Here is a 23123-nt window from a genome sequence, read left to right on the forward strand (position 1 = left end):
GGAGTGATGAAAATGTTCTGTGAAGATAGTATACTAAGACCCACTGAACCATACACTTCAAATGGGTGAGCTTTACGGTATGTAAAACAGATCTCAGCACAGCTGTAAAAAAAAAAAAAAAAAAGGTATATTGACGACCTGTCCCCAGTGGCATTAGTTTAAGTCATAAAAATTTAGAAACAAATGTTCATCAACAGGAAAATCATTAAGTACCTTATGGTGCATCCTAGCTCTAAAACTATGCTGCCATTAAAAAGAAGAGGTACCGTCTCCAAGAAAGAAAGCCAACATCTGCAGTGCCTGGCACACAGTAGGCTCTCAAATATTTGCAGAATAAATTTATGTTGAAAAAACCCCAGCTATACATACTATAAAATAGGTAAAGGGGCCTTAAAAAGATCTAGAAGGACACAAGTTATATGACTAACAGTGCTTACCTCATATGAGGTGGGATAGACAGAAAGACGAAAAGAGAAATTTTCATTTCTGAATCTCCTGCTGTAGATGGTGGTCCTTCCCAGGAGAATGTTACTTGTATTACTTGCATATCATTTTATTTTTTGAGATGGAATCTTGCTCTGTCTCCCAGGCTGGGGTGCAGTGCACAATCTCAGCTCACTGCAACCTCCACCTCCCGGGTTCAAACTATTCTAGTGCCTCAGCCTCCCAAGTAGCTGGGATTACAGGCACATGCCACCATGCCCAGCTAATTTTTGTATTTTTAGTAGAGACGGGGTTTCACCATGTTGGCCAGGCTGGTCTCGAACTCCTGACCTCAAGAGAGCCACCTGCCTCGGCCTCCCAAAGTGCTGGAATTATAGGCGTGAGCCACGGCGCCCGGCCATTACTTGCATATCATTTTAAAAGTTGTAATTCATTGGTAAACATTCTAAGACATGCAGGTTCCTGTAAATTACCAAACTGTAATCCTGTAAATTACCAAACAGAATGGCTGTTTGTGCAGGGAGTATCACTGCGATTTAGTGTACTTGGTCTAGAGTATGCTGTCGCTCTTACAACCAGAGGTTTTCATGTTAATTCAACATCCATCATGAAGAGAAAATATACCAGACAAACAAACTGTGGTAGGATCACACAAGGACTGTGCTCCAGCAATAAAAGGAACAAACGACTGACACACGCAATGACAGAATGAATCCCAGAGGCATTTATGCCAAGTGAATGTAGCCAGTCTCAAAAGCTGCACAATGTATGTTTCCATTTATACGACATTCTGGAAAAGGCAGAGCTATAGAAAGGGACAGCAGATGGTGGCCAGAGGCTAAGAATGGGGCCAGGGTCTGACTACAGAGAGAGGTTGGACTTGCTCTCCATCCTGTTTGAGATGGAGGTTATAAGAATCTGTGCAAGTGGGCTGGGTGTGGTGGCTCACGCCTGTAATCCTAGCACTTTGGAAGGCTGAGGTGGGTGGATCACGAGGTCAGGAGATCGAGACCATCCTGGCCAACATGGTGAAACTCCGTCTCTACTAAAAATACAAAAATTAGCTGGGCATGGTGGCTCGTGCCTGTAGTCCCAGCTACTTGGGAGGCCGATGCAGGAAAATCACTTGAACCAGGGAGCCGGAGGTTGCAGTGAGCTGAGATTGCACCATTGCACTCCAGCCTGGCAACAAAGCAAGACTCTGTCTCAAAAAAAAAAAAAAAAAAGTATGCAAGTGTGAAAAACCATAGAACAGCAAACCTAAAAAGGCAAACACGACTGTATGTAGATTTAAAATATAAATTAAAAAAAAAAAAAGAAAAACCAGGTGCATCTACTGAGTGCCCAGCCCCATTCTAGGCTCTGAGGATTCTGTTTTTTTAGGGATGGGTCTTGCTCTGTTGCCTAGGCTGGAGAGTGCAGTGGCAAGATCACAACTCACTGTAGCCTCTAACTCCAGGGCTAAAGCATTCCTCCTGCCTCAGCCTCCTGTGAGTAGCTGGGACCACAGGCACATGCCTGGTTAATGTGTGTGTGTGTGTGTGTGTGTGTGTGTGTGTGTGTATGTGAGAGAGAGACAGAGAGAGAGAGAGAGAGAAGGTGAGGTCTTGCTTTGTTGCCCAGGCTGGTTTCGAACTTTCAGCTTCAAGCAATCCTCCCACTTTGGCCTCCCAAAATGCTGGGATTAAAACGTGAGCCACGACACCCAGCCTGAGGATTCTAAGGTGAGCAGGTCAGATGAAAGTGCTGCTCTCAGGGTGCCAGTATCCTTGTCAGGCAAGAATACACAAGGTTCCAGATACACAAGGTTGTTCAGTAGAGATCCGGGCTGTGGTGCAAGGTGATTGCAGAGGGATAGAGCCAGGGGTGGTGGTGGAGAGGGCTCCCCTCTTGATAGCCAGTTATGGGTGGCACTAAGGATGGCACTGAGCTGGGACCTGACAGCTGCAAAGAAGGGGCCAACCTTGGGAGGATGTGGGAGAGAGCAGCCTGGGCAAGAGGAATAGCTGTGCAAAGGTCTTGCAGCAGCAGAGGCCCTGGACAAGGTCAGATGTCTGGAGTTTTAAAATTCCAATTGCTGTCGGGGCTCAGTGGCTTATGCTTGTAATCCCAGCATTTTGGGAGGCTGAGGTGGGTGGATCATGAAGTCAGGAGTTTGAGACCAGCCTGGCCAACCTGGTGAAACCCCATCTCTACTAAAAATACAAAAATTAGCTGGGTGTGGTGATGCACGCCTGTAGTCCCAGTTACTTGGGAGGCTGAGGCAGGAGAATCACTTGAACCTGGGAGGTGAAGGTTGCAGTGAGTCAAAATCATGCCATTGCATACCAGCCTGGGCAACAGAACAAGACTCCATCTCAAAAAAAAAAAAAAAAAAAATCCAATTGCTAAGGGAAGCCCCAGGAGGCTCAACCCACAGGCACAATATAATCTGACTTACATCTTTTAAAAGAGCACTCTTCTTAGATTATAGACAGAAAGAGTGAATGCAGGAAAACCAAGACAAAGACATTCACTACTTTAAAAAAGTTCATAATAAGTCTGCTTCCCGGCCGGGTATGGTGGCTCACCCCTGTAATCCTAGCACTTTGGGAGGCCAAGGTGAGAGGATTGATTGAGGCCAACCAGGCCGAAAAGGAAGACCCTGTCTCTATTTTAAACAAATAAAAAGAATAATTAATTATGCTTCTAAGACCTGTCTGTGGAACCGGGGAAGGAATCATATCATTTTATAAACAAACCAAGTAACACTAAGCCCATTGCATGAAGGATTAAATAATTAAGCATTTAGTTAACATGAAAGTAAATGATGGCTTCTATACATTTTTAATGCAGGTAATTATACTCTCAGTAAATCATCACAGCACACAAACATTAGCATGCTTATTAATTCAGTGTTAATTGCTATTGGCTTACATGTACCATTATCCAAAAATTAAATAATTTGAGTGTACACTCACTTTTTTAAACAGGTACATATAAAGGTAGATGGAGGGCTGGGCGCGGCGGCTCATGCCTGGAATGCCAGCACTTTCAGAGGTCGAGGAGGGTGGATCACCTGAGGTCGGGAGTTGAAGACCAGCCTGGTCAACATGGTGAAACACCGTCTCTACTAAAAATACAAAAATTGGCCGGGCGCGTTGGCTCACGCTTGTAATCCCAGCACTCTGGGAGGCCGAGGCGGGCAGATCATGAGGTCAGGAGATCAAGACCATCCTGGTTAACACAGTGAAACCCCATCTCTACTAAAAAATACAAAAAATTAGCTGGGTGTACTGGTGGGCACCTGTAGTCCCAGCTACTCTGGAGGCTGAGGCAGGAGAATGGCGTGAACCTGGAGGCGGAGCTTGCAGTGAGCTGAGATCATGCCACTGCACTCCAGCACTCTAGCCTAGGCGACAGAGTGAGACTCCGTCTCAAAAACAAAACAAAATAAAACAAAAACAAAAACAAAAATTATCTGGGTGTGGTGGTGCACACCTGTAATCCCAGCTACTAGGGAGGCTACTAGGGAGGCTGAGGCAGGAGAATCATTTGAACCAAGGAGGCAGAGGTTGCAGTGAGCTGAGATCGTTCCATTGCATTCCAGCCTGGGCAACAGAGTAAGACCCTGTCTCAAAAAAAAAAAAAAAAAAAATGGTAGACAGGGGAAATGGACCAGATGTTGAATCTAGTTTGGTTATAGTCATTGCTGGGGATTAATATAGTAAGAGGAGGGTCCTTCTCTCCTGAATTGATGTCTATCAGGGGTTGGAAAGTTTTCTTTTTTTCTTTGAGACAGAGCCTTTCTCTGTCACACAGGCTGGAGTGCAGTGGCGCGATCACAGCTCACTTCATCCTCTAACTCCTGGGCTCAAGCCATCCTCCCACCACAGCCTCCCGTGTAGCTAGGACCACAGGCGTGCACCACCACTCTCAGCTAGTTTTTGTATTTTTTGTAGAGATGAGGTTTTGCCATGTTGCCCAGACTGGTCTTGAACTCCAGGGCTCATGGGATCCGCCCACTTTGGCCTCCCAAAGTGTTGGGATTACAGGTGTTAGCCACTGGAAAACTTTCTATAAGGGCCAGAAAATACACATTTTTGGCTTTGCAGGTCTCTGTTGAGACTACTCAACTCTGCCTCTGGACAGTAGGAGGAGTGAGTGTGGCCGCTGCACTCAGCGCTTTTCAGAGCCATGCTAGAGCCTGGGGCAAAGAGGAAAAAGAAGCAGCAGTGCTGATCCTGTCTTTATGTAAAATTTCAACATTTTGCTCATCATGGAATTTTTTTCCCATTATTTTTTTGAGACAGGGTCTCATTCTGTTGCCCAGGCTGCAGTGGCACAAACACGGCTCGCTGCAGCCTCAACCTCCCTGGGCTCAGGGAGTACGGGCACGTGCCACTACCCCCAGCTAATTTTTGTATTGTTTGTAGAGACGGGGTTTCACCCTGTTGTCCAGGCTGGTCTTGAACTCCTGGCCTCAAGTGATCCACCCGCCTTGGCTTCCTAGAGTGCTAGAATTACAGGCATGAGCCACTGTGCCCGGCCTTCATCATGAAATTTTTTGGCATTTATTTTGATTTTTTAAAATACTGCATTAAAACATTGTGTATCTTGATGACTGTGGATTTTTGTAGGCACTGCCTTAAATTTTGCATCCCAGGCGAGGGCCTCACTGCCTCATGCTAGTTCTGACCCTGGTGCTGGTGCTGTTCCAATAAATCTTTATTTATGGACACTGAAATTTAATTTCATATCATTTTCATGTGTCACAAAATATTTTGTCTTGTTTCCAATCATTTAAAAACGCAAAAAATATTCTCAACTCGTGGAAACTAAAAACAAAAATAAAAACCCACAGTAGTGTGCTAGATGTAGTCTGCTGACCCGTTTTTTTTTTTTTTAATTTTTATTCATTTATTTATTTATTCTGAGGCCGGGTCTTGCTCTGTCATCCAGGCTGGAGTGCAGTGGTGCAAACATGGCTCACTGCAGCCTCCACTTCCAGAGCTCAAGTGATCCTCCTGCTCAGCTTCCCCAGAAGCTGAGACCACAGGTATGTGCCACCATGCCCGGGTAATTTTTTAATTTTTTGTACAGATGGGGTCTCACCATCTTGCCCAGGCTGTGACCCCTATCTTGGATGGCCTTTGGGGGAACATGTCTTACTCATAATTATAGGCAGCGGAAAATGCCTGCTAGCGAGTAGGCACTCAAACGTGTCTGAATAATTTAGTCCCATTTTCTCCATTCTTAAATTACTGTTTAGGTTGCTTTACATTCTCTTCCCAGCCCCAGATCTCCAAATACAGGAGATGAGCACACGTGTCCAGGGCACCCCAGACCTCTTGGGCAGGGAGAATTCTCGGCAGAGAAGACCGGATATGGGAGTGTGGTGTGGGAATCGTCTGTGAGTGCTAAAGAACCGGTCCTCCACCTGCCCCAAGCTTTCCATTAGGCTCAAAAGCAGAGTTAGCCCAGTTAAGCGCATGGAAACTAAATGAGTTCGCTGTGCATTGTTCAGCTATACATGACCACAGGCAAGATAAATATTTAGGGTCTTTATTAAAGCTGTGATCCTCTGCTTTAGCAGGACAGCGTAGGGACTTACTAGAGGCAAACCATAAAAAGCATATGCCTCCTAGTAAAGTAATGCTGGGAAATATGACGAGTCAATTACTCTTTATCATTAATTGTGGTAAAATGTGCATAATGTACAATTTACCATTTTAACCATGTTTAATATACAGTTCAGTAGCATTAAGCACACTCACACTGTTGTGCAACCATCACCTCCATCCATCTCCAGAACATTCTCATCTTCCCAAATTGAAACTTTGTCCCCATGAAACACTCACTCCCTACCCCCTCCCCAGCCCCTGGCACCCACCATTCTACTTTCTGTCGCTATGGATCTGATGACTCTAGGGACCTCCTAGGGGTGGAATCACACTGGATTTGTCCTTTTTTTTCTTTCTTTCTTTCTTTTTTTTGAGACAGAATCTCGCTCTTGTTGCCCAGGCAGGAGTGCAGTGGTGCGATCTTGGCTCTCTGCAACCTCTGCCTCCTGGGTTCAAGTGATTCTCCTGCTGCAGCCTCCCAAGTAGCTGGGATTACAGGTGCCTGCCACCACGCCCGGCTAATTTTATATTTTTAGTAGAGGCTGGGTTTCACCATGTTGGCCAGGCTGGTCTCAAACTCCTGACCTCAGGTGATCCACCACCCACCTTGGCCTCCCAGAGTGCTGGGATTAGAGGTGTGAGCCACTGCGCCCGGCTGGATTTGTCCTTTTGTGTCTGATTTCTTTCACTGAGCATGATGTCCTTAAGCATAATGCATAATGTCCATGTTGCAGCCTGTGTCAGAATTTCCTTCCTTTTTCAAGGCTGAATAGTATTCCATTGTATAGATGGATCACATTTTATTTATCCATTCATTTGTTGGTGGACACTTGAGTTGCTGCCACATTTTAGCTATTGTAAATCATGCTGCTATGAACATGAGTGTACAAATCCCTGTCTGAGTGTACAAATACTGTTTTCCAAAGCAGCTACACTATTTTGCACACCTACCAACAGTTCACATGGGTTCAGTTCCAATTTTTCCATATTCTTATCAACATTTTTCTGTCTTTCTTCTTTTGGGTAACAGTCATCGTAATGGGTGTGAAGTGGTATCTTATTAGGGTTTTGATTTGCATTTCTGCAATGATAACTGGTATGAAGCACCTTTCCAACTGCTTATTGGCCATCTGAATATCTTCTTTGAAGAAAGAGAAATATCTACTCAAGTCCTCTGCCCATTAAAAAATTTTTTTGCTGAGTTACAGAAATTCTTTATCTATTTTGAATATTAACCTCTTATTAGAAATGATTTGGAAACATTTTCTTCCATTCCTTGGGTTGTCTTTTTACTCTGTTGCTACTGTTCTTTGATGCACAAAAGTTTTGAACGCTGATGGCCTAATCCTTCTGTTTTTCCTTTTGTCGTGAGTGCTTTTGATGTCCTATCCAAGAAATCATTGCCAGATCCAGTGTCATAAAGATGTCTCCCTATGTTTTCTGCTAAGAATTTTACAGTTTTAGCTCTTATGTTTAGGTCTTTGATCCATTTTGAGTTAATTTTTGTGTATGTTATAAAATAAAAGTCCTGGCTGGGCACAGTGGCTCACGCCTGTAATCCCAGCACTTTGGGAGGGTGAGGTGGGAGGATTGCCTGAGGCCAGGAGTTCAAGACCAGCCTGGGCAACATAGTGAGACCTCGTCTCTATAAAAAATTTAAAAATTAGCCTGGCATGGTGGCATATGCCTGTGGTCCCAGCTAGTTGGGAGGCAGAAGCAGGAGGATCTCTTGAGCCCAGGAGGCCGAGGCTGCAGTGAGCCATGATTGTACCACTGCACTCCAGCCTGGGTGATAGAACAAGATCCTGTCTCAAAAAAAAAAAAAAAAAAAAAAAGGCAGGGGAGATCCAATTTCATTCTTTTGAATGTGGAAACCCAGTTTTCCCAGCATCATTTATTGGAAAGACTGTATTTACCCCATCGAATGATCTTGGCACCCTTGCAGGAGTAAAATACGGCCATGAGTCGCTTCCTGACAGGGATACGTTCTCAGCAATGCAACCTCAGGCAATTTCATCATTGTGCGAATATCACAGAGTGATACTTACAGAAACCTAGACGCTACAACCTACGTAGCACACCTGGGCTGTATGGTATAACCTATTGCTCCCAGGCTACAAACCTGTCTAGCATGTGACTGCAGTGAACAGTGCAGGCAATTGTAACACAGTGGTAAGTATTTGTATCTCCAAACATGGCTAAGCATAGAAAAGGTACAGGAAAAATACAGCATTATAATCTTATGGGATCACTTGTATATGTGGTCTGCTGTTGACGGAAATGTTATGCATGGCATGACTGCATTATAAGCAAATAATTAAAGTTAAGTAATAACACACAAGAATCTAATCTTGCCGGAAAGGGCACTGTAAAAGTGAATTGCAAGAGAAGCTCACAGGAATTAGATGACTTCTGTGTCTCCCCTTTGACAGTAATGGATGCATCCACGCACACGGCTCATTCCTGTTTTCAGTGATGCGCTTCCTTACTATTATTTGCAAAGGGAATTTGTCTGTTCTGACCACACAACTCTACAGAGATACAAACATCACATGGGCACCTCTGCCTTTTCTGTTTACTACTAACGTAGATTGTCATGTAATTTTTGCCCTTCCATGCCTGTTCTTCTGAGGAGAAATTCCCAGTGTTGAGCAGATTTTGAAAGAGATCCAGACTGATGAAAGATTAAAAACCACTGGGCTACAGCAGTATGTCTTTTTTTTTTTAATCTTTTAAAACTTAAATTCACAAATTTGAGGACTCCAATTCAGACGAGCTTCGTTGTATAAACCAGGCAGATCTGTGGTCTTTAGAAGAAAGTGACAGAATCAGTTCACTTCCTGGGTGGGGACTGAGCACAGGCAGATGGTCGCAGCGGGTCAGAAGCCACAAGCTGCAGAGACAGACTCATGATAGACAGGGCGACAGGCATAACCTTCACAGGGGCGAAGCGAGACGCACACCCGTCTCCAGCAGGGAGCCACAGTCCACAGGTGGCTACTCCTCCCTCCCACTGCCCTGTATTTAGGAATTCAAACAGCCTGGGAAGGGACTGTGCTGATAATTGGCTCTGCTTTCAAAGAACACTTAGGAGATAATTAACCCACAGTCCACCAAGCCCAGGAATTGAGGATCGAGGATCAGAGGAAGCCCAGGAGGGAGATGCCTGCCAGAGGCGAGTAAAGGGACTTAGAGAGAAGTGCAGTTTTTTCTAGCATCCACCCATCCAACCCAAGGAAGCCCATCTGATTTACCACATCTAGCCAGTGACCTTGATCAGTTCCACAGCCAGGCATTAAGGCGAGTCCCCACTAACTTTCTCACCTCAGAGAAGCCCGATTCCAATTCTAGCCCCTCCCTGGACTCTGTCAGTAATTCCTAGCAATGCCTTCACTCTAAAAAATCCAGCTACAACAAAAGATTCAGATGCTGCAGAATTTATTTTGATTTGGAGGTTTCAGCTCCAAATCAAAGGGCTGATATCATGGAAATAGCTTTTTTGACAGCTAAACAGAAATTATTTTCCTTGATTAGCCATGGCACATTCGCCCTTCTTAGGTGGACAGCGTGTTTTGATACGAAGGTGATGGGTTACAGGTGCTGGGTTTCTCCACATGGGCAGTTTCTCCCCAGGAGTCTCACTCCTTACATCATCATCTAGAGCAGTAATTAATTTCAGAAACCACTCCTGGCTGCCATAAGCTGCACACCCACTTCCAGAACTGGCTTAACCCGCCAGGAAGCCACAGTCCTCAAGGGACAGTCACCCAGAGCTGCATGTTGGTGAGTCAGAGACGAGAACAAAGAGGAAGCAATGACCCCTGAACACAGAGCCCTTCCCAGCCCAGAGTGCTGCTCTAAGCCTAACCCAGGCTGGCCAGGGCCTGAAAGACAAAGAAGAATGCCACAGAGAAGGGCCAGGGCACTACAGCTTTTTTTTTTTTTTTTTTTTTTTTTGAGACGGAGTTTCACTTTTGTTGCCCAGGCTGGACAGCAGTGGCGTGATCTCGGCTCACTGCAACCTCCGCCTCCCGCGATTCTCCTGCCTCAGCCTCCTGAGTGGCTAGTATTACAGGCATGTGCCACCATGCCCCGCTAATTCTGTATTTTTAGTAGAGATGGGGTTTCTCCCTGTTGGTCAGACTGGTCTCGAACTCTCGACCTCAGGTGATCCACCCGCCTCAGCCTCCCAAAGTGCTGGGATTCCAGGCTTGAGTCACCATGCCAGCCCAGCATTTTTTTTTAAAGGCACAGTTCTCATAGGTATAAGAAGGCAACGAAATTCATCCTGCAAGATGGATGTAGCCAAAGACTCTTCTTTAATTACAACAAACTGGAGAAGATAACAAAGTAAATATTATTCCTCTCTCTCTTAGAGAAAGCAAAAATATGTTAAACACCATTGAAGAGCCTAAGGGGTTTTATAAACCTCAAAATCAGCATCACATTCATATACACATGAGTACTAGTCACATATAGCCAAGTAATGTGCGTTAGACCAGGGGGTGGCAAGCTTTTTTTGTAAAATGTGGAATAGTAAATATTTTAGGTTTTGCAGGTCAAGCGCTCGCTGTCAAGATGACTCAACCCCATCCATTGTAGGGTGAAATGACTGTGGCTGTGTGCCAATAAAACTTTATTTATGGTTCCAGTTTTAGTATATTTGCTGCTGAAGCAAGCACAATTTATGGACACTGAAATGTGAATTTCAGATAATTTTGTATGTCCTAAAATATTCTTCTTTTGATTTTTCCAACTACTTAAAAATGTAGGAAAAAAGCATTCTTAGTTCATGGGCTGTACAAAAACAGGCAGTGAGTTGGATTTAGCCCATGGGCTAGTTTGCCCACTCTGTATTAGACTCAGATGTTTGGACTCATGTCTTTAAAACAGAGCCTAAAATAACTCCAAATAAATAAAAGGGCAGGTATCAAATAGCCCATGTAATGACAAATAACCACGCTAGAAATCTGCGTCCAGCAGGTCAGGGACACTCTGGGGGTGAAGACCAACACTCCTGTCCTGTCTCCATCTCAGTGGCGGAGGATGTGGGGTTTTGGGCAGTCTCTGAAAAGGGAGTGTGCACGGGCAGGAGCTGGAGCAATGTCACAGGGAAGGGGGAGGCCAGCCCTCATGTCCTCTGGATTCTGACCCTGTGCTATGGTTGGAATGTTGTGTCCCCCCAAAACTCACATGTTGAAACCTAACCCCCAATATGACGGCATCTGGAGGTGGGGCCTTTGGGAGATGATTAGGTCATGAGCATGGCACCCACAGGAATGGGATTAGGGTCCTTGCAAAAGAGGCCCCAGAGACCTCCCCTGCCCCTTCCATCACGTGAGGACACAGCTAGAAGGCAGAAGCCGAACCAGAAAGCAGGCCCTCCCCAGACACTGAATCTGCCAGTGCCTTGATCTTGGACTTCCCAGCCTCCAGAGCTGACTGCAACACATTCCTGTTGTTTAGAAGCCAGCCAGTCTCTAATATTTTTGTTGTAGCATCTGAATGAACTGTCACCCTCCCTTCCCTCCACCACCCTGTGTAGCTCTTACATGTGCTGGGGACCTTCATGATTCAGGGTCTTTGGGCATTTCACAGAGGAACAGAAACTTGTGGATTAGAGAAAATTATTATATGAGATAACATCTTTGGATTGTTTGTATAAGATAACATCTTTGGATTGTTTGTTTGTTTGTTTTGAGACAGGTTCTCGCTTTTGTCACTCAGGCTGGAGTACAGTGGCATGTACATCGCTCACTGCAGCCTCAACGTCCCAGGCTCAAGAGGTCCTCCCACCTCACCCTCTGGAGTAGTTGAGACCAGAGGCCCACACCACCACACCTGGCTATTTTTGCATTTTGAATTTTTCATAGAGACAGGGTTTCACCATGTTGCCCAGGCTGGTCTTGAACTACTGAGCTCAAGTGATCTTCCTGCATCAGCCTCCCAAAGTGCTGAGATTACAAGCATGAGCCACCATGCCAGCCCAGATAACACCTTTGAATACAAATTTCTCAGCCGGGTGAGGTTGCAGTGAGCCAAGATCACGCCATTGCACTACAGCCTGGGTGACATAGTGAGACTCTGTCTCAAAAAAAAAAAAAAAAAAGAATACACATTTCTCCAAAGAAGAGCTATAGACAGATGAAAGCACATGAAAAGAGGCTCAGCATCATCAGTCATTACAGAAACACAAATAAGAACCACCATGAAACACCACTTCACACCTACGAGGCTGGTTATACTAAAAACAGGGAAAAATAAAAGTGTTGGTGAGGATGTGGAGAAACTGGAGCCCTCACTCCCTGCCGGTGGGACTGTGAAAGGACAATTTGGCAGTTAACTTGCAGTTACCATACGACTCAGCAACTCCACTCCTAGGTATATTCCCTGAAGAAATGAAGCTATATGTCCAGGCAAAAGCTTGTCCACAAATATTCATAGCAGCACTATTCGTAATAGTCAAAAGGTAGAAACAACCCAAATGCCCATCAAGGGATGAATGCATAAACAGATGTGGTCCACCCATGGAGTGGAATACTATTCAGCCATAAAAAAGAATGAAGCTCTGACACAGGCTACAATGTGGATGAACTGCAAAACAATATTACCCAACCTTCCAGGGCTTAAATATATATTTATATACACACAAGTGAAAGAAGTCAGTCACGAAAAAGGTCACATATTGTATGATTCTATTTACAGGAAATATTCAGAATAGGAAAACCCACATAGACAAGAAGCAGACTTGGTGTTTGCCAGGGGCTGGGAGTAGGGGACTGTGATCGACTTCTAATAGGTATGGAGTTTCTTTTCACGGTGATGGAAATGTTCTGGAATTAGAGAGTGATGATGGCTTCACAACACTGTGAAAATCCTAAAATCCACCAAATGAAAACCATTTTAAAGTGGTTAAAATGGTAAATTTTGGGCTGGGTGTGGTGGCGCATGCCTGTAAACCCAGCACTTTGGGAGGCTGAGGCTGGGGATTGCTTGAATCCCGGAGTTTGAGACCAGCCTGGGCAACATAGTGAGACCTTGTCTCTACAAAAAATTAGCCAGGCATGGTGGCGTGCACCTATAGTCCCAGCCCAGAAGGTGGAGGCTGCAATAAGCCATGATCGCACCACCCCACTGCAGCCTGGGCGACAGAGCAAGACCCTATCTTCAAAAAAAAAAAAAAGGTGAATTGTATGTGAATTTTATCACAATTGAAAAAAGAAGATGACGCTGAGTGCTGGCAAATGCCAGCCACGAAGAGAAACAATGATATAGAGACTAAAAGCATTCCTGCATTCCTCACCTCAGGAGAAGTAAAATGCAATATTCTCATAATTATGAGAAAATTAGGCACGAGAACGTACAAAGTACAATTCGAACATTTTCAGAAATAAACTTCAGTAACAAACAACAATATCTGTTGGACACGATCCCTAACAGACTGTTTGTGAAAATCTCGAGTGATGGGAGAGAAGTAGGTGTGGGGAAATCTGTTTCAGGAACTCTGAGTCTAAGCCGCAAAACGTGTTTACATGAGACCCATCAACAGAATAAGCCGAGGGACTGAATGAGGAATGAACTGCGGGAGGTAGGCATTTTACAATCAGGAATCTGAAATGAGACTATGTCCCAGTTTGGGAGTCAGAGAATTGTAGACTTTCTGGGCCAAGCCCTCAGTGAACATTAACCCTGGAGAATAAAGGAGCAGGGAGTTTCTAGAAGATTCTACATCCGGGAGTGGGGGGAGGAAAACTGTGGAGGTTGGTGTCTCAGAAATCTTAAAGGATGTTAAAAAAGAAAACCATGATTCACTGAATTTAAAATAGGAGAAAAGCTCAGATTAAGAATGAATAACTTTATCGAGGATTAGGTCACAGGAATTCTGGTTTTAAATTGTTTACGTAGAGTTAAAGAGAAAGAATTTGTACCATAAGAAGAAGCCAACTATAACAGCAAGGAAGACATTCAAGAACAGGATCTAGTGGCTGCACAACTGAGCTCCCTCCTCGGGCTGGAGAGAGCAGGGGCTCAAGTCCCTAAACCCGGGCCATGGCAGCAGGGGGTCAATGACCCAAGAAAGCAGCTTGGGACGGAGGGTGGCCCCGCAGGCTGCATGCTGGGCTGCTGGAAGGAAGGTCTTCCGCTGAGAAGGCAGAAGAACGAGTGCTCTGCTGGAGAATAAAGGTAGCAGAGTTTACAGCCACGCGTCCAGAGGGAATTCAGAGGGGCGGGGCAGGCCGTTGCTAGGCTCGAGTCCGCGCAGGAGTCAAGGGCGACAAGCATGAGCTTGTGGCTGCGCAAACCAGCCCAGCAGCCAGGCCTCCCCAAGAGGCACACGCGAGCATGGGCGCAGCTCACGGTGACAGAATGAGGCTGAGTCAGTCACACGTGGACTGTAGGATAGGCAGAGCTAAGCTGACAGGGAACACGTTCCAGAGGAGGGGCCGGGGGAGGGAGAGGCTGCCAGGGGGTTTGAGCACCTCCTAAGTGGCCCACAGAACACTGTGGGTGAGTTCAGTGTGCATTCTCCTGGAGGGTGGGGACACAAGTTTTCACGAGGCTGTCAAAGGGTCCGGGACCTGCTACTCTGAAATGTTAAGAAGCTAAAGAGTTTGTGTTGGCCTGAGAGGCAAGGAGTGGGACGGGGACTTAGGGCAACGGACACGCATGTGGTAAAAAAAAGGCCCTGTGGTGTCGGGGAGGCGAGGAGGTGGCCCCGGTCCTGCTGGAGGCGGCGTAGTTTCAGGAGAGGACAAAAGTGGAAAGTCACCTTTATAGTAGGAATGGAGCGCAGATGTAAGTGGCGGCAAGCTAACGCCAAGGGGAGGAAGTCCATCAGGCTCAGCAATTTCCCTGCCGCGAGTGGGCAAACATCTCACACGTGTACACAAATATATTTGGACACGGGTGCTTACTGCAGCATTGGCGGTAAAGTGGAAGGTATAACCAAAATGCCTATAAATAAATAACTAAGGCCGGGTGCGGTGGTTCATGCCTGCAGTCCTAGCACTTTGAGAGGTTGAGTGGGGCAGATTGCCTGAGCTCAGGAGTTCGAGGCCAGCCTGGCCAACATGGTGAAACCCCGTCTCTACTAAAATACAAAAAATTTGCCGGGCGTGGTGGCACATGCCTGTAATCCCAGCTACTCTGGAGGCTGAGGCACGAGAATTGCTTGAACCCGGGAGGCAGAGGTTGCAGTGAGCCGGGATTGTGCCACTGCACTCCAGCCTGGGCGACAGAGCAAGACTCTGTCTCAAAAAAATAAAATAAAATAGAATAAAAGGCTAAGTAAGTACTTAGGACAGGAGTGGAATATCAGACCATTAGTAGAAAGAATGAAGCACAAACACAGTAGAAAGTGATAAGGAAAGATACAGGCTAAATATTAGGTAAAAGAGCAGGTGGCAGAAAAGTGAGAAAAATAAGATCTCTTTTTTGAAGAAGAAAAAAAAAACACACAAAAAAACCCTATTAGTCCAGCCATGAAAAGGAATGAAGCACCAACACGTGGTACAAGGTGGATGAACCTTGAGAACATCATGCTAAAAACAGCCAGTCACAAAAGGCTACTTACTATATGATTCCATTTTCATGAAGTTTCCAGAACAGGCAAATCCACAAAGACAGAAAGTGGCTTAGTGGCTGCCAGGGGCTGGGGAAGGGAGGTGGGGAGTGACTGCTTAATGGGGACAGGGTGTCTTTTTGGGGTGATGACTCTGGAATTAGATGGTGGTGATGGTTGCATAACCTTGTGAATATACTGAAAGCCACTAAATTGTACACATTAAGAGCCTGAATTCTGCGGCATGTGAATTACATCCCAATGCAAAAAACACTAAAGAATTCGTATGTATGTTTTACAGGCCTGTGAAATATCTGAAACCATCCACACCAAACTTTTCTTAGTGGTGGGAGGGGCAGAGGAGAGAGGAAGAAGCAGCCAGAGGCTCTTTTTTTCTTTTTTACAATTTGGATTTTTTTTTAATGATGAAAACGTAAGACTTTTATAATGTAAAAGAGAAGCAGTCAGAATTATGGGGACTACACACAGGATCCCAAAGTCCTGAAATGGTCACTAGGGAATTCTGGGGACAGATCACTCAGGTGGCTTGGAGGGCACCACCTGTGTTTCAAAGTCCAGTGATGATCACTTTAGAAAATGGACAACGCTGAGGTCAGGTGGACCCACGCTACTCAGACTTTGTCAGTGACCTTATGTTTTCACGGCTATGAAGTATCTGCACGCCAGTAAGTAGCCAATATAGTGGTCACCTTTTAAAAGGAAGAGTTGACTTAAAACTTGTGCCTGCTTTGACTTTAACACCTTTACCTGTGCAGTCGGTATAGAAGCCAGGGCCACACGTGGCTGCTGAGCACCTGAAATGGGGCTGGTCCGAACTAACATTTCTAAGACTTAGCACACAAAAAAGAATGTGAAATATCTCGACAATAATTTTTCATATAGGTTATATATTGAAATGAATATTTTCAATACAGTTCATTGGATGAAATGTATTATTAAATTACTTTCACTTGTCTCTTTTTACTTTTTAAAATGCAGCTACTAGGCCAGGTGCAGTGGCTCATGCCTGTAATCCTAGCCCTTTGGGAGGCTGAGGCGGGTGGATCACGAGGTCAGGAGATTGAGACCATCCTGGCTAACATGGTGAAACCCCGTCTCTACTAAAAATACAAAAAATTAGCCAGGCATGGTCCCAGTTACTCGGGAGGCTGAGGCAGGAGAATGGTGTGAACCCAGGAGGCAGAGCTTGCAGTGAGCCGAGATCGCGCCACCGCACTCCAGCCTGGGCGACAGAGCAAGACTCCATCTCAAATAAATAAATAAATAAAAACAAATAAATAAAATGCGGCTACTAGAAAATTGCAAATTTCACACGTGGCTTGTGTTATGTTTCTTTATTGGCCGGTAATGATCTAGAAGACACTTAGAATAAATCATCTCAGGATAAGTTTAAGAATTCACAAATATTTTAAGAGATTCTATTTTACTAGAAAGTAAGCAAAATGATTTTTAGATGTAGATGTGATCTCTATCTAGTAAGAACTCATGTAATTTTGACAAATAATTACTCTATTTGGTGTCCCACAAATACAGTTAGACATGGCCTCTATCCTCAAGGGTTTTGCATGGATGGGGTGAGAAAGAAAAGGAGACATACACAGATAATTCCTTACGTGGCAAAAGGTAACAGGTGCAGACTCCAGATGGAACAGGGTACCATAAACAATGGGGCAGGGGAGTCTGGGCAGCATCCCGTCCTGGACCCTGCTGGAGGTGGGGTAGGGAAAATCAGGCAGAGGTGTAAACAAGGGGAGGGTGTGTGGGGCAGGGAAGGGGTCAAGAGACCAAGCTGGGTGGAGCTCGGGGAATAAAGGGGGAAATAGGATGGACCACTTGGAGAAAGTCTACGAATGCGAGTCAGAGCCCCTGGACTGCACCACAGGGGCAGAGGTCAGGAAACTACCGCCCACCACCCAAATCTGGCCCAGCCGCTAGCCTGTTTGTGTATGGCCCATGAGCTAAGAATGGCTTTTACATTTTGAAGTGGTTAGAAAAAAATCAAAATCAAAATATTCTGTGATGCATGAAAATTACATGAAATTCACATTTCAGCATCCATAAATAAAGTTTGATTGGCACACGGCCAGGCCCAAGCTCTCACATGTTGTCTACATCTGCTTTCAAGCTCCATCGGGAGAGCTGAGTAGTTGAGATAGTGACCATCTGGGCCTCAAAAGCTAAAACATTTACTATCTAGCCCTTTATAGAGAATGTTTGCTGATCCCCACTTCCTTGGAATACTAAAACATCCTGTGGGCTTCCTTTGCTCAAATAAAATAAAGGCACTGCTCAAATAAAATAATGGCACTTGCGCCAATCTGCAGAAATATTTATTGAATAGGTTCCTCGAATTTAAAACATTTTCCCTACCAATATTTCTTAAACCCTTGGTAGATATTTCCTCTTATTTGCTAATGAAGAGTAGCCAACAACAAAACAAAAACTAATGTGATACCCTGCAGGTTTCACATTATTGGGAAGCCCTGTACCAGTCTGTCTCACCCAATCAACAGCAGTTTTAAAGAATGTATGCTCATAGTTGATACTGCGCACACTCTCGTTTTTGTTTTTTGTTTTGTTTTGTTTTGTTTTGTTTTGTTTTGAGATGGAGTCTTGCTCTGTCTCCCAGGCTGGAGTGCAGTGGCGCGATCTCGGCTCACTGCAAGCTCCGCCCCCCGGGTTCATGCCATTCTCCTGCCTCAGCCTCCCGAGTAGCTGGGACTACAGGCGCCCACCACCATGCCCGACTAATTTTTTATATTTTTAGTAGAGACGGGGTTTCACCATGTTAGCCAGGATGGTCTCGATCTCCTGACCTCGTGATCCGCCCACCTTGGCCTCCCAAAGTGCTGGGATTACAGGCGTAAGGCACTGCACCTGGCCTCGTTTCTTATAATTTAATCATGTTGCATTAATAAAATATGAGTTCACATGATTTAATTCAACGCACTCCTGGTATTCCATGATGTTCCACCATATCATGTGGTCTCCCCCTCCCAGGGTCCCCCACCATCTTAAGGCCATTGTTGAGGGCAGCTGGAAGCACCAGATTTGGAAGAACACAGAACAAGAGGACCAGCACCATACCCTTCATCTAAGGGAAGAAATCGGAAGTTTACTTTAACAGTCCTGCATGAGAGGGTCTGAACTGGAACAGTATAATCAGAAACAGAAAGGGAAGAATCAATACAAGACCAGTTTGGGTGGTGGGACCTATAGGAAGTAGTGAGTAGAAAAGAGGGCAGTGGGTTAGTGGGGGTGAAGCAGAGTGGGGAGAGGATGAGATGACCCCTAGCCTTCAACACTGGGCAACAGAGGAGACAGCTCCATCTACAGCCTTGGACTAGACCCTGGGGAGGAAGAACGAGCGGTCCAGGCTACTCGGGTTTCTGGCAAGAGCAGGGTGCCCAGGCTGGGACCCACACATCTCTCTTTCACTTGGGCCTTGCCTTTCTTCCTAGACCCTGGGCCCAACCCTTTCTGAAGCAACAAAGAGGGGAAGCAACTAAGGAGAAAGGCAAATTGCATGGAGTTTAGCGGCAGGAAAGATTCCTCAGCTACCTGCCCAAAGGACTGAGACATGCATTAAGATATCTTTACCCTTCTGAGGGCGTGATCATCATTCCAATTCCACCGGGCTTTTACAAGGATTAGAAGTAATACATGTAATACACCAGGCACATAGTATGTACCCATGGGTAACATCATGGCAACCCTTTATTATTATTAATTATTATTATTATTTTAGAGACAGGTCTCACCCTCTCACCCAGGCTGGAGTGCAGTGGTGCAAACACGGCTCAAGTAACTCGTGGGCTCAAGTAATCCTTCCACCTCAGCCTCCTGAGTAGCTGGGACTACAAGTGTGCACCACCAGGCCCAGCTAATTAATTTTTTGTGTGTGGAGACAGAGTCTTGTTATGTTGCCCAGGCTGGTCTTGAATTCCTGGCCTCAAGCTATCCTCCTACCTCAGCCTCCCAAAGTGTTGGGATTACAGGCATGAGCCACTGTGCCAGGTTCCCTTTATTTTTAAAACATAACCTTGGTGATCTAACAGGCACTACTTTTAAAGTCTGGCTACTCCTTACTGAGGGCTGCTTTTTTTGCCCATTTGCTTGATTCTGTGGCCAACGTAACACTCTCTGCTGTTCTTGAAAAACCCTCTTTCTTCTTTTCTTATACAAGAATCAAAAATGTTATCACACAGCATTGAACATTCTTATATAGATCAGAGAAGGTGAATGACTCGATAAATGACGTCATACATGATTTTATCTATGAGCTTTGTAACCAGACAACTAAATGTATAATTTATTCCAGAGTGTCTATTTGGAAACAATAAAAGAACTTTGCTACCCCTGAAGTTTATCCCAGCCTCAGTGGTTTATATTTTGACTTGCATTAAAAACGACCTCTCCTCCTGATGAGAACTGTTACTGGTCTAACTAGAAATGTGGGGCTACATTGCGGGAACTTGAGAAATGGGGGCTCTCCCTGCACCGAGACAGCGCAGTGGGTGCTTGGCTGATAATAACACCTGTAAAGAGGCCGCAAGATAGAGACTTCAGTGAGATGCGTTTTCGTCCAAGTTCGTCAGAGCCACCTGGGCAATGATCTTGAGTCAGTGTCTCTTTGGTGGTTTTAGCACATTCCAGGACCACCAATACTACCATTTACTATTTTTCTTTAACACTCAGCTCTCAAGTTTTGAAGTCTGTTCTTCGTTAAACGTGAGAGGTCAGGAGTGTTATAGAGGGGTTAAAGATACCTTAACACCCACGAGAGACTTTCTCCTCAGCCTACTGGGAAGGCCTAAAAAAGAACTGGAAAAAAAAAAGAGGATTCTGCTTTGGCAGATCCAGTGGTAGCAGATCCACGTGTTGGGAAATGCTTTTGAGCTGGGGAACAAAGCTGGGGAAATAGATCTTTAAGAAAGGGAGCCAAGGTTAGAAATATTTGCCTACAAAGTGAGTAAATTTTATGTAACTCTGTTAATTCTCTGTAACTGCTTCCTCTGCCACTGCTCGTGGCCCAGGGCTGACTTTTTGGGGTGACCCCAAATGTATGCAGCTTTCAAATCTTTCACAAACTGCTTGAACCACAAAAAAAAAAAAAAAAAAAAAAAAAAAAGCTAAGGGTTAAAATACAACTTGCCCTATAACCTTGCTTTCCCTCAGAGCAAAAAGGAGAATTCATTGGTTCAACAAATGCTGAGTGCCACATTTCGTTGCTGAAACAATTCTAATAGACATAACAGCTCTATATTTGTTCCAAATTGACTTTTTAACAGAGTGAAATCTTTGAAAAGTTCCAAAGCAAAACAAGAGACAAATCAAGCCACTGCAATGGGCTGGGACATAGAATTCGGGATTTCATATTCTCCACTGTGTACTCAGCTCCTAGCAATGAGACTCAGCAGCAGCTCTGTTATAAAACCCCTCCCCGCTCCCCGAACTTTCTGGAAAAAGAACTTCATTTGCAATTTTGGCTGGGTAAAAAGGGAAATTAATTAACAGTAGGGGTCTTTGATTAAAATTTCTTTTGAAATTTGGTAAAGGAAAAGTACATATTGAAAGAGCTGGAATGTTAATTGAGATCAAATCGAAAACATGGAGTTTGAAGGTTATTGGATCTCAGGCACGGGCTGCGTGATTTTTTTTTTTTTAAGAACTGAAGGTTTACCATCTTGATGTAGGCCTTGCCGTCCTGAAGAGCACTCGGGCTCATGTGTTTCATTCACTCACATGTTAAATATGAAGCCCTATGTACAACATAGCCTGTGGGAACTGTGGCAGGGGTAGCTGTCTCCATCCTCCAGAACCTTGTCACAATCAAGAATAGGAAATGAGACGCACAAATCACTACCACCTGTCGAAGTGGCCTTGCAGTGCTAAATCTAAGTGCTGAGGCAATTTGCCTGCAGTCCTTGCCACTTCTTGTTGATTAGTCCAGCAGCCCCCAGCTGGGAGGCAATTCTGTTCACCCTCACTCCCACCTCAGGACATCTGGCAATGTCTGGAAACAGTTGGTTGTCACCACTTGGGGAAAGGGGAGTGTGCTTTTGGCAGGTAGAGGCCTGGGAGGCTGCTCCACATCCTACAGTGCACAGAACAGTCTCCCCAACCAAGAATAATCTGGCCCCAAATGTCAATAGTGCCAGGGTAGAGACTCAGCTCTAGTTTATATTTTCCAACTTAGCTCCTCAATGAAAATCTCAAGTTTCCATGGCAAGAGGGGATTAAAGAAGGGTCTTGAGGGAAGAGTAGGATTTTCTTCAGTAGAAATGACATTCCAGAGAAGGGATAAGAAAGTACAAGACCCGTTTAAAGTATGGCAAGCTCATTTGGAGTAGTGAAAGGGAGGCAACGAAAAGGGAGATGGGGCTGGACTGAAGGAAGCCTTGAATGTGTGGTTACAACAAAGGGGAGGGGACAGTTTGTCCGTTTGGCTAACAAAAGTAGTAAGAAAGTGCCCTTCCGTTCCTCCTGACATAGCTCAAAGAGACATGACAAGGCGGTTGGGAGAAGAGGAAGAGATCAGTAAGAATCCAGAGACGACAGAGCCCAAGGTCTGTGCAAAGAGCCGCAGGGAGACAATACAGGAAGTGATTAGGCAGGAGGCTTTGGCGGCGACCGGAAGGCTGGAGAATTATTGCCTCTGTAACAGGAGAGGAGGGCTACTTCCAGTAAGAAGGACCAAGACTCCAGAGGCCACTGGCACTAGAATAAGAAGAGAAGTAGGCTCATGCAGGCCCACGTAAATCGGAGGAAGGTGGAAGTTTCCTGACCGGAAGTCTAGGTGGGAGGCGCCATGTTGCGGCCCAGCCGCTGCTACTGACTCCACCATCCGGCAGTTCGTGAAATTAAATAACTGCAAATTGATGAGTCTTTTCTTTTGCATGCTGAGTCTCTCCAATGAGCACACTCATCAGTGTGAACCAAGGCTGGCAATTAATTGAATTATATTGATTTAATTGAATTAATTAATTGAATTATATTGATTTAATTGAATTAATTAATTGAATTAATTAATCATATCCATTTCCAGAAGTAATTTTTACTCACCCGCGTCTGTCATTTTAAAGGTCTGCAGTAAAAATACCAGGATTTACACAAAAGATTTGCTCCTGAGACATATCCTGCTTTTAACTTAGGCTCTGAATATCAGTTGCCAATGGTTTCTAACAATTTTAAATTTGTCTAGTGCCTTCTCCCCTCTCAACTGTCCACATGACGATATATTAATACACGTAAATGCTTAACTAATTATAAGCTCCTCAGATGTTTGATATTTCAGGCCCACAAATATTTTCTAAAGAAATGGATGGAGACCCCAGAGAGCTCCTCACTGAAGTCCCTAGTAGGGTGAATTCTTCAAGAAAACGAATAATTCCTTTTAAAATCAGAAGCACATCTTTTAGTCTGTTTTCAGTGGGTCTGGAATTCCAAATATATTTTTTCTCAAGGCAGGCTACATCTGTCTGTATGTATTC

At 44.9% G+C, this 23123-nt stretch overlaps 1 protein-coding gene across 7 annotated transcripts in view, besides 4 other annotated features; it reads right to left on the reverse strand.

The window, feature by feature from the left end:
* Positions 1–23123, reverse strand: part of RFX2 (regulatory factor X2) — a 117337-nt gene that overhangs the window by 85069 nt on the left and 9145 nt on the right. The gene's annotated exons all lie outside the window — the stretch shown is intronic.
* Positions 8548–9049: an enhancer, noted in NCBI's record as "NANOG-H3K4me1 hESC enhancer chr19:6086791-6087292 (GRCh37/hg19 assembly coordinates)". NCBI's record gives its function as "activates a minimal SCP1, AML or CMV promoter by ChIP-STARR-seq in naive H9 embryonic stem cells {active_cell/tissue: H9 hESC(naive)}" and the evidence as "EXISTENCE:reporter gene assay evidence [ECO:0000049][PMID:30033119]".
* Positions 8971–9040: an enhancer, noted in NCBI's record as "active region_13820". NCBI's record gives its function as "activates an Ori minimal core promoter by ATAC-STARR-seq in GM12878 lymphoblastoid cells {active_cell/tissue: GM12878}" and the evidence as "EXISTENCE:reporter gene assay evidence [ECO:0000049][PMID:35858748]".
* Positions 9050–9549: an enhancer, noted in NCBI's record as "NANOG-H3K4me1 hESC enhancer chr19:6087293-6087792 (GRCh37/hg19 assembly coordinates)". NCBI's record gives its function as "activates a minimal SCP1, AML or CMV promoter by ChIP-STARR-seq in naive H9 embryonic stem cells {active_cell/tissue: H9 hESC(naive)}" and the evidence as "EXISTENCE:reporter gene assay evidence [ECO:0000049][PMID:30033119]".
* Positions 14340–15045: an enhancer, noted in NCBI's record as "H3K4me1 hESC enhancer chr19:6092583-6093288 (GRCh37/hg19 assembly coordinates)". NCBI's record gives its function as "activates a minimal SCP1, AML or CMV promoter by ChIP-STARR-seq in naive H9 embryonic stem cells {active_cell/tissue: H9 hESC(naive)}" and the evidence as "EXISTENCE:reporter gene assay evidence [ECO:0000049][PMID:30033119]".

Source organism: Homo sapiens, chromosome 19 (genome assembly GCF_000001405.40).
Source record: "Homo sapiens chromosome 19, GRCh38.p14 Primary Assembly".
Lineage (NCBI taxonomy): Eukaryota > Metazoa > Chordata > Mammalia > Primates > Hominidae > Homo > Homo sapiens.